Below are 12,150 nucleotides of genomic sequence, written 5' to 3' on the forward strand. Positions count from 1 at the left end.
AATGTTGGCTTTTATTTATTTATTTACATATATATATATTTATATATATATATATATATATATATATATATATATATATATATATATAAATAATTTTGCGACAGAGTCTTACTCTGTCACTCAGGCTGGAGTGCAGTGGCACATTATTGGCTCACTGCAACCTCCGCCTCCTGGGTTCAAGCAATTCTCCTGCCTCAGCCTCCTGAGTTGCTGGGATTACAGGCACCCAAAACAATGCCTGGCTCATTTTTGTATTTTTGTAGAGATGGGGTTTCACCATATTGGTCAAGCTGGTCTTGAACTCCTGACCTCAGGTGATCTGCCTGCCTTGGCCTCCCAAAGTGCTGGGATTGCAGGTATGTATTTTTAGTAGAGATGGGGTTTCACCATGTTGGCCAGGCTGGTCTCGAACTCCTGACCTCAGGTGATCTGCCTGCCTCGGCCTCCCAAAGTGCTGGGATTACAGGCGTGAGCCACCATGCCCAGCCAAAATGTTGGCTTTTGTTACCATTGCCTACATCGTGCCAGATTTGGGTGCTGTGATTTTATGTTTACCATTACCCTCTCTCCCTTGCTCGTAACTTCTAACTCAAGTAGCTCGTCTTGCTTGACTGCACAGGCTATCCCTTTTCTCTCTCACTGTGACCTGGCACCAGGGTTCCCAGACACAGTCTGCCAGACCCTCGGAGCTGCTCCTCCCACACAGAAGTTTGCGAGTCTGTGTGCTGGTCAGAACATCCTTGTAACATGAGGAGCACGACTGTGGCTGTCTGAGCTGGAGCTGGGTCACTGCCTCTCAACAGTCACTGTGGATCATAACCTCTATCAATCCACTCTGAAGAGCTGATGCAGACTGGAGTCACAGCAGGATCATGATCTTTTTTTTTTTTTTATATTACTTTAAGTTCTGGGATACATGTGCAGAACGTACAGGTTTGTTACATAGGTATACATGTGCCATGGTGGTTTACTGCACCTATCAACCCGTCATCTAGGTTTTAAGCCCCGAATGCATTAGGTATTTGTCCTAATGCTCTCTCTCCCCTTGCCCCCCATCCCCTAACAGGCCCCTGTGTGTGATGTTCCCCTCCCTGTGCCCATGTGTTCTCATTGTTCAACTCCCACTTATGAGTGAGAACATGTGGTGTTTGGTTTTCTGTTCCTGTGTTAGTTTGCTGAGGATGATAGTTTTCAGCTTCATTCATGTATCTGCAAAAGACATGAACTCATTCTTTCTTATGGCTGCATAGTATTCCATGGTGTATATGTGCCACATTTTCTTTATCCAGTCTATCATTGATGGGCATTTGGGTTGGTTCCAAGTCTTTGCTATTGTAAATAGTGCTGCAGTAAACACACGTGTGCATGTGTCTTTACAGAATGATTTATAATCCTTTGGGTATATACCAGTAATGGGATTGCTGGGTCAAATGGTATTTCTGGTTCTAGGTCCTTGAGGAATCGCCACACTGTCTTCCACAATGGTTGAACTAATTTACACTCTCACCAACAGTGTAAAAGTGTTCCTATTTCTCCACAGCCTTGCCAGCTTCTGTTGTTTCCACACTTTTTAATAATCACCATTCTAATTGGCGTGAGATAGTATCTCATTGTGGTTTTGATTTGCATTTCTCTAATGACCAGTGATAATGAGCTTCTTTTCATATGTTTGTTGGCTGCTGCATAAATGTCTTTAAGAATCCACTCTTCAGAGCTGATTCCGACTGGATTTTGGTCAGCCATGAAGTGGTATCTGACTGCAACACACTCTACTTCAAACATAGTCATGTTTTAGGATGAGGCCATCTTCAAGCCTGAGATCCGTTTCTCATAGAAAGTGTTTATGCTGAAAGCATATGGGCCCTAAGAGTTCACTTCTCCTGCAGGCTTCACCATGAAGACCCCCCCAGTTATTGGCAAGTTCATTCCACCTCCGCTTCCAACCCCCCTACACGACGGAAGGACGGGCCCAATGTGACACTGTGTGAACTCTGATTTCCTTTGGTAACAAATACTTCTGTTAAAATATATCCAGATGTCAGCGCTAGATGATAAATTTGAACAAACACATTTTGGTTAAATTAGTATGATTATTTTGACTTTCCAGTGTTTACTTGGTTTGTTAAGCATTTTTACTTCTCTCTACCATTGAGGAAAGACAAGTGGGATAATTTATTTTGAGGAAGGAAAACTCAAAGCTATCACGTATGTGAAAAAACATGTGAGGTATCTGAGTTGTTGAAATCACGATTGATCCTAATTGATACTTACAAGTTATAGAAAATGTGGCAATGGATTGCCAATCAATATTTAAAAACTGAAAACCTGTTGGTAGATAACATGGTTTCTCTAGGAAACAAACGGCTGCACTCCCAACAGATTTGTAAATATCTCATTGACTCAAAGCAAAGAAGTCAATAAAAAGAAAATGAAATCAAATTTCTAAAATTTCATACAAATATTTTACCTTATTTTTCTCCTTTGTTCCTTTCTTTTGTTTTTTGGCTTTCTTGGGTTGTTTTTCCTTTTTCTTCTTCTTCTTTTTGTTTTTTTCTTCTTCCTCTTGGTTTGCTATGATATCCTCAATAACCTAGTGAAAACCAAAATAATCATACCATTTTCATAGATCCCTATCAAGAGAAGGACTGTTTTCCCTGTCTGAAAGGAAGTTTTTGTGCTGGTCAGTGTCATCTCTCTGCCTGGCCCTGGACCCTGCAGGCCGACCCCTTCTGGGGCATGGTGGGGCTCCTGCCTACCATCTACCCTTAGCTGGATTCATGAACAGGGGGCAGCAGCCTCAGTGTAGATGGAGAGAGAGTCTCGACGTTTCTGAGCCCAGTTCCTTCCCTAATTCCACCCACTCCAGCTCCTGGAGGTTCCACAAACTCTAGGGGAGGTCATAGCTTCCTCAACGTCTCAGCAACAGCTGGATGTGCCAGCCCTGCCCACAGCTCGTCAAAATCCAGGGGGAGGATGCCACTGCTTCCTGCTAGGCTCCAATGGCAACAGCCACTCTTGCAATAACTTTCATTTTCATGAGTTGGTTTCTTTCACCAGTGATTTAATTTATATCCCCTACAGTGACAAAAGACCTTTTATCCTCCTAAATTATAAAATATTTGTTAAAAAGTATCCAGTTCACATAGGATTAGCACTACTGGAGAATTATTATAGATTTGTTAAAAAAACATATAATTCAGTTCAATACAACAGTGTTCACTGAGCACTCACTCACTGCCATAGAGAGCTGTGAATTCCAGGAGATATAAAGGTGACAATGACAGGACACGCTTCCTGTTTGGCCCCCAGGGCTCTGCTCATGACTTGTCATGTGGCCAAGACAAGCTGCATAAGCTCTCTGAGACTCAGTTTCCTCAGCTCTAAAAGGGAGCCAGCATCTCCGTACATAGCACTTAGGATCCGCCAGGCATGCTTCTGAGAGCCTCACAGAGACAGACTCCTTTGCTGCTACACCAGACGCATGGGGGTTGCTGTTGTTGCCCTGTTTTATGGATGAGGGAACTGGGACACATACAGTGCAGTATCCCAGCCAGGGACACACAGCTAGTGAGTAGCTGAGCTGGGATTCAGCACGTGCTTAACCAGGATGAATTTCATAATGTAGGGAGAAAAGAGGCATAATGTATAAGAACACATGTCAACTTACTCCATCGTACAAAATGCACAGAGTGAAACCAACAATCCATACTCCAGTCTCAGGTACATACACATGTAGTCCAAGTACAAAGGAATGTAAGGGAATGACAAACTCCAAATTAAGTACAGCAGTTGCCTTTGAAGATGGAGCAATTAAAAAATTGGGGGTGGGGAGACAAGGGCTAATATCGTTTTATCCTAGTGTGGAGAAAGGCGAGAGGTGAAGCATGTGTTGTGAACATATTTGGCCATGCAAAAATGATCTTTTCCCAGCCTAGGCAACATGATGAAACCCCATGTCTACAAAAAAAAACACAAAACATTAGCCAGGCATGGTGGTGCACACCTGTATTCCCAGCTATCTGGGAGGCTGAGGTGGGAGGATTACCTGAGCCTGGAAGGTAGAGGCTGCTGTGAGCTATGATCCAGCCACTGCCCTCCAGCCTGGGTGACAGAGTGAGATCCTGCCTCAAAAAAACAAAACAAAACAGACAAAGGCTCACCTTGACTCACAGAATCAAGGTGTGGCTGCCCAGGTCTTCATTGTACTGGAGCACTTGTAACACAGACATTGTTTGGACCTTAGAAACTGTAAAACTTTTCTGCTTTCTCTTGTGGGCATTTAGTGCTATAAATTTCCCTCTACACATTGCTTTGAATGTGTCCCAGAGATTCTGGTATGTTGTGTCTTTGTTCTTGTTGGTTGCAAAGAACATCTTTATTTCTGCCTTCATTTTGTTATGTACCCAGTAGTAATTCAGGAGCAGGTTGTTCAGTTAAAATTGACACCCTAACATCACAATTAAAAGAACTAGAGAAGCAAGAGCAAACACATTCAAAAGCTAGCAGCAGGCAAAAAATAACTGAGATCAGAGCAGAACTGAAGGAAATAGAGACACAAAAAACCCTTCAAAAAATCAATGAATCCACGAGCTGGTTTTTTGAAAAGATCAACTAAATTGATAGACTGCTAGCAAGACTAATAAAGAAGAAAAGAGAGAAGAATCAAATAGATGCAATAAAAAATGTTAAAGGGGATATCACCACCGACCCCACAGAAATACAAACTACCATCAGAGAATACTATAAACACCTTTATGCAAATAAACTAGAAAATCTAGAAGAAATGGATAAATTCCTCGATACATACACCCTCCCAAGACCAAACCAGGGAGAAGTTGAATCTCTGAATAGACCAATAACAGGCTCTGAAATTGAGGCAATAATTAATAGCTTACCAACCAAAAAAAGTCCAGGCCCAGATGGATTCACAGCTGAATTCTACCAGAGGTACAAGGAGGAGCTGGTACCATTCCTTCTGAAACTATTCTAATCAATAGAAAAAGAGGGAATCCTCCCTAACTCATTTTATGAGGCCAGCGTTATCTTGATACCAAAGCCTGGCAGAGACACAACAAAAAAAGAGAATTTTAGACCAATATCCTTGAACATTGATGTAAAAATCCTCAATAAAATACTGGCAAAACAAATCCAGCAGCACATCAAAAAGCTTATCCACCATGATCAAGTGGGCTTCATCCCTGGGATGCAAGGCTGGTTCAACATATGTAAATCAATAAACATAATCCAGCATATAAACAGAACCAATGACAAAAACCATATGATTATCTCAATAGATGCAGAAAAGGCCTTTGACAAAATTCAATAACACTCATGCTAAAAACTCTCAATAAATTAGGTATCGATGGGACGTATTTCAAAATAATAAGAGCTATCTATGACAAACCCACAGCCAATATCATACTGAATGAGCAAAAACTGGAAGCATTCCCTTTGAAAACGGGCACAAGACAGGGATGCCCTCTCTCACCACTCATATTCAACATAGTATTGGAAGTTCTGGCCAGGGCAATTAGGCAGGAGAAGGAAATAAAGGGTATTCAATTAGGAAAAGAGGAAGTCAAATTGTCCCTGTTTGCAGATGACATGATTGTATATCTAGAAAACCCCATCGTCTCAGCCCAAAATCTCCTTAAGCTGATAGGCAACTTCAGCAGTCTCAGGATACAAAATCAATGTGCAAAAATCACAAGCATTCTTATACACCAATAACAAACAGAGAGCCAAATCATGAGTGAACTCCCATTCACAATTGCTTCAAAGAGAATAAAATATCTAGGAATCCAACTTACAAGGGACGTGAAGGACCTCTTCAAGGAGAACTACAAACCACTGCTCAATGAAATAAAAGAGAATACAAACAAATGGAAGAACATTCCATGCTCATGGGTAGGAAGAATCAATATCGTGAAAATGGCCATACTGCCCAAGGTAATTTATAGATTCAATGTCATCCCCATCAAGCTACCAATGACTTTCTTGACAGAATTAGAAAAAACTACTTTAAAGTTCATATGGAACCAAAAAGGAGCCCGCATTGCCAAGTCAATCCTAAGCCAAAAGAACAAAGCTGGAGGCACCACACTACCTGACTTCAAACTATACTACAAGGCTACAGTAACCAAAACAGCATGGTACTGGTACCAAAACAGAGATATAGATCAATGGAACAGAACAGAGCCCTCAGAAATAATGCCGCATATCTACAACTATCTGATCTTTGACAAACCTGAAAAAACAAGAAATGGGGAAAGGATTCCCTATTTAATAAATGGTGCTGGGAAAACTGGCTAGCCATATGTAGAAAGCTGAAACTGGATCCCTTCCTTACACCTTATACAAAAATCAATTCAAGATGGATTAAAGACTTAAACGTTAGACCTAAAACCATAAAAACCCTAGAAGAAAACCTAGGCATTACCATTCAGGACATAGGCATGGGCAAGGACTTCATGTCTAAAACACCAAAAGCAATGGCAACCAAAGCCAAAATTGACAAATGGGATCTAATTAAACTAAAGAGCTTCTGCACAGCAAAAGAAACTACCATCAGAGTGAACAGGCAACCTACAGAATGGGAGAAAATTTTTGCAATCTACTCATCTGACAAAGGGCTAATATCCAGAATCTACAATGAACTCAAACAAATTTACAAGAAAAAAAAAACAACGCCATCAACAAGTGGGCAAAGGATATGAACAGACACTTCTCAAAAGAAGACATTTATGCAGCCAAACGACACATGAAAACATGCTCATCATCACTGGCCATCTGAGAAATGCAAATCAAAACCACAATGAGATACCATCTCACACCAGTTAGAATGGCGATCACTAAAAAGTCAGGCAACAACAGGTGCTGGAGAGGATGTGGAGAAATAGGAACACTTTTACACTGTTGGTGGGACTGTAAACTAGTTCAACCATTGTGGAAGTCAGTGTGGCGATGCCTCAGGGATCTAGAACTAGAAATACTATTTGACCCAGCCATCCCATTACTGGGTATATACCCAAAGGGTTATAAATCATGCTGCTATAAAGACACATGCACATGTATGTTTATTGTGGCACTATTCACTATAGCAAAGACTTGGAACCAACCCAAATGTCCAACAACGATAGACTGTATTAAGAAAATGTGGCACATATACACCATGGAATACTATGCAGCCATAAAAAACGATGAGTTCATGTCCTTTGAAGGGACATGGATGAAGCTGGAAACCATCATTCTGCGCAAACTATCGCAAGGAGAAAAAACCAAACACCGCATGTTCTCACTCATAGGTGGGAATTGAACAATGAGAACACATGGACACAGGAAGGGGAACATCACACTCTGGGGCCTGTTGTGGGGTGGGGGGAGGGGGGAGGGATAGCATTGGGAGATATACCTAATGCTAGATGACGAGTTAGTGGGTGCAGCACACCAGCACGGCACATGTATACATATGTAACTAACCTGCACGTTGTGCACATGTACCCTAAAACTTAAAGTGTAAAAAAAAACTTTCAGAAATGTAAAGACTTAAAAAAAATAGTCGGATATATAATTATGAGCAGCTGAAAAGATGAAATCCTTATTTGTGGAGTATAAATTTCACTGTGGCCTTATCAGTTAAGCCTTTTAAAGTCTTACCAATTATATGGTTTATTTCATCTCTCTCCTTTTATAGTTTATTAGTTTAAATTTTTGAGTATTACATTTTCATGGTTCACAATTCAAAAGTTATGAAAGAGTAATTATACATAAATACAGTGAAAGGTTTCCTCCCCATACTGTTAACTAGCCAAGAAGATCCACTTTCTCTTTTTATTTTTTATTAGGGCATAATTGACAAAAATTTAATATATATACAGTATACAACATGATGTTTTGATACATGTACACATTGTGGAATGATTAAGTCAAGCTAACTAACATGTCCATCACCTTACATGCTTAGCATTTTTTGTGTGTGATGAGAACATTTACAATCTATTCTCTTAGCAATTAAAAATATACAATATAATATTGTTAATTATGGTCATCATGCTGGACAATACATCTCCAGAACTTTTTCCTCCTGTCTAATGGAAACTCTGTACCCTTTGACCAACATCTCTCCATTCCCTGATCTTCCCCTCCCACCCTTGGTAATCACTATTCTACTCTCTGCTTCTGTAAGTTAAATTGTTTTTTTAGATTTTATTTATAAGTGAGATCATGCAGTATTTGTCTTTCTGTGCCTGGCTTATTTCACTTAGCATAACGTCCTCTGGGTTCATGCATGTTGTCACAAATGACAGAAATTTCCTTCTTTTTTAAAGCTGAATAGTGTTCCACTGGGTATATACAATACATTATGTTTATCCGTTCATCTACTGAAGAACACTGAGGTTGCTTCCACATCTTGGCTTTTGTGAGCAATGCTGCAATGAACATGGTAGTGCAGACATCTCTTTGACACACTGATTTCATTTCCTTTGGATACATACTCAGTAGTGGGATTGCTGGATCATATAGTTCTATTTTTCATTTTTTGAGGAACTTCCACACTGTTTTCCATAATGGCTGTGTTAATTTACATTCCCACCAACAGTGTACAAGGGTCCCCTTCTCTCACATCCTTGCCAACATTTGTTGTCTTTTGTCTTTTTGATAACAGCCATCCTAAGTGTGAAGTAATATCTCATTGTTTAATTTGCGTATGTCTGTTGCGTTCAGCATTTTTCCATATACATGTTGACCATTTGTATGTCTTCTTTTGAGAAATGTCTATTCATGTCCTTTGCCCAATTTTAAATTAGGTTGTTTTCTTGCTATAGCAGTCTTTAAATTCTTTATATATTTTGGAAATTAACGCCTTATCAGATGTATGGTTTGCAAATATTTTCTCCCAATTCATAGGTTGACTCTTCTCTTTTGTTTCCTTGCTGTGCAGAAGTTTTTTAGTTTGGTGCAATCCCATTTACCTGTTTTTACTTTTGTTGCCTGTGCTTTTGGGGTCATATCCAGAAAATCACTGCCCAGATCAATGTCATGGAGATTTCCCCTATGTTTTCTTACAGTAGTTTTATAGCTTCTGGTCTTTTGTTCATGGCTTTCACTCATTTTGAGTTGATTTGTGTATATGGTGTGAGATAAGGGTTCAATTTCCTTGTTCTGCATGTGGATATATAGTTTTCTCAAACCATTTATCAAAGAGACTTATCCTTCTTCCATTGTGTGTTCTTGACACCTTTGTTGAAAATCAATTTGCTGTAGTGTGTGGATTTATTTCTGGGCTCTCTCTTCTGTTCCACTGATCTTTATGTCTGTTTTTATGCCAGTATCACGCTGTTTTGCTTTCTGTAGCTTTGTAATATATTTGGAAATCAGGAAGTGTGATGTCTTTAGCTTTGTTCTTTTAGCTCAAGATTTCATTGGATATTTGAGGTGTTTTGTGGTTCCATATAAATTTTAGAATTGCTTTTTCTATTTCTGTGAAAAAGTGTCACTGAAATTTTGATAGTCATTACACTGAATCTATAGATCACTTTGGGTAATATGTTCATTTTTACAACATTAATTCTTCCAATTCATGAGTACAGGATATCTTTCTATTTATTTGTGTCCTCTTAAAATTCTTTCACCAATGTTTTGCATGTTTTGTAGGTTTCAATACACAGATCCTTCACCTCCTTGGTTAAATTTATACCTAAATTAAAAGAATGTTACTATAAATGGGATTGTTTTCTTGATTTCTTTTTCAGAGAGTTCACTGTTAGTGTATAGAAATGCTACTGATCTTTTGTATGCTGATTTTGTATCTTGCAACTTTACTAAATTTGTTCGTCAGTTCTAATAGTATTTTTAGTGGAGTCTCTGGGGTTTTCCTTTTTCTTTTTCAAAATTTTTAAAAATTCAATACAGACAGGGTCTTGCTATGTTGCCCAGGCTCTTCTCGAAAACCTGTGCTAAAGTGATCCTCCCACTTCAGCCTCCCAAAGTGCTGGGATTACAGGCGTGAGCCACCGTGCCCGGCCTCTGGATTTTTCTATATGCAAGATCAAAGACAGGAAATTTCACTTCTTCCCTTCCTATTTGGATGCCTTCTATTTCTTATTCTTGCCTAATTGCTCTGGCTAGGACTTCTGTACTAGGTTGAATAAAACTGGCAAGAGTGGGCATCCTTATCTTGTGCAGATCTTAGAGGAAAAACTCAGATTTTCACTATTGAGTATGATTTTAGCTGTGGGCTTTTCGTATATAGTCTTTATCGTGTTAAGTTCCTTCTCTGCATAATTTGTTGAGTTTTTATTATGAAAGAGTTTTGAATTTTGCCAAATACTTTTTCTGCATCTATTAAAATGATCATATGATTTTTATCCCTCATTCTGTTAATGTGGTATATTATACTGATTGATTTGGATAGGCTGAACCACTCTTGCGTCCCAAGGATAAATCCTGTTTGGTCATGGTGAATGATTCTTTTAATGTGCTCTTGAATTTGGTTTGCTAGTATTTTGTTGAGGGTTTCTGCATCTATGTTCATCATGAACATTGGCTTATAATTTTCTTTTCTCTCAGTATCTTGCCTGGTTTTGGTATTAGGTTTATGCTGGCCTCATAAATGAATTTGGAAGTATTTATTTCTCTTCAATTTTTGGGAAGAATTTAAGAAGCATTGGTATTAGTTCTTTACATGTTTGGTAGAATTCACACAAGAAGCCATTTTATCCTGGGCCTTTCTTTATTGGAAGGGTTTTGATTACTGATTCAATTTCTCTACTCACTATGATTTTCTATTTTTTCATGATTAGTCCTGTTGTTGTATAATAATTTATCCATTTCTTCTAGGCTAATGAATTTGCTGGTATATAATTATTCATAATAGTCTCACGATCTTTTGTATTTCTATGGTATCAGTTGTAATGTATCCTCTTTCATTTTTAATTTTATTTGTGTGACTCTTTTCTCTCCTAGTCTAGTTAACAGCCTGTCAATTTTATCTTTCACAAAACCAACTCTTAGTTTACTTTTTCTGTTGTTTTTTTGAGGCTCCATTTCATTTATTTTTGTTCTTATCTTTATTTCTTTCCTCTGCTAATTTTGTACTTAATAATAGTTTGTTTTTCTTTTTCTAGTTCCTTGAGGCATAATGTTAGGTTGTTTGAGATCTTTCTTCTTTTATGGTGTAGGCATTTATTGCTAGAAATTTCCCTCTTAGTACTGCTTTTGTTGTATCTCATAGGTTTTAGTATGTTGTGTTTCCATTTTTATTGGTTTCAAGACATTTTAAAATTTGCCTTTAAATTTCTTCTTTGATCCATTGGTTGTTTAGGAGCATGTTGTTAATTTCTATCTATTTGTGAAATTTCAAAGATTTTTCCTTTTATTGTTCCTGGTTTCACACCATTGCAGTCTGAAAAGATATACTTCATATGATTTTGATCTTCCTAAATTTGTTAAGGCTTGTTTTGTGGCTGAATATATGATTTGTCCTGGGGAATGTTCTATGTGCATTTGAAAGGAATGTATATTCTGCTGCTGTTGGATCAAATGTTCTGTATATGTCTATTAGGTCCATTTGGTCTAAAGTGTAGTTCAAGTTCATTGTTTCCTTATTGATTTTATGTTTGAATGATCTGTTCATTGTTGAAAGTAAGGTACTGAAATTCCCTACTATTATTGTATTATAATCTGTCTCTCCCTTCAGATCTATTAATATTTGCTTTTCATATTTATATGCTCTGATGTTTGGTACATATATATTTGCAATTGTTATATCCTATTGATGAACTGATCTCTTTATAATTATATAATGATCTTATTTGCCCTTTTTACAGTTTTTGACTTAAAGTATATTTTGTCTGACATGATTATAGTTACCCCTGCTTTCTTTTGGATTCAATTTACATGGAATATCTTTTTCTATCCCTTCACCTTCATTCTATATGTGTCCTTAAAGGTAAAGTTAATCTCTTGTATGCAGCATATAGTTGGGTAATTTAAAAAAAATCCATTCAGCCATGCTATGTCTTTTGATTGGAGAATTTAATTCATTTACATTTGAGATAATTATTGATAGGAAGAACTTATTGCTGCCACTTTATTACTTTCTGATTGTCTTGTAAATCCTTCTTTCATTTTGTTCTGCTATTATTTTCC

At 38.1% G+C, this 12,150-nt stretch overlaps 1 protein-coding gene across 10 annotated transcripts in view; it reads right to left on the reverse strand.

Moving 5' to 3' along the window:
* The window catches only part of DRC11 (dynein regulatory complex subunit 11), a 200,792-nt gene that overhangs the window by 109,997 nt on the left and 78,645 nt on the right, over positions 1-12,150 (reverse strand). For 6 of the 10 annotated variants that reach the window (XR_007081589.1, NR_073043.2, NM_024726.5 and 3 more), the window contains exon 8: positions 2,468-2,590. The exons of the other annotated variants lie outside the window; for them this stretch is intronic. Coding sequence is in view for 4 of the 6 variants with exons in the window: in NM_024726.5 (NP_079002.3) it covers positions 2,468-2,590 (123 nt within the window). In the remaining 2 variants the exon portion in view is untranslated. The remainder of the gene's footprint in view (positions 1-2,467; positions 2,591-12,150) is intronic. 10 annotated transcript variants of the gene reach the window in all.

This window comes from Homo sapiens, chromosome 2, assembly GCF_000001405.40.
Source record: "Homo sapiens chromosome 2, GRCh38.p14 Primary Assembly".
Taxonomy (NCBI): domain Eukaryota; kingdom Metazoa; phylum Chordata; class Mammalia; order Primates; family Hominidae; genus Homo; species Homo sapiens.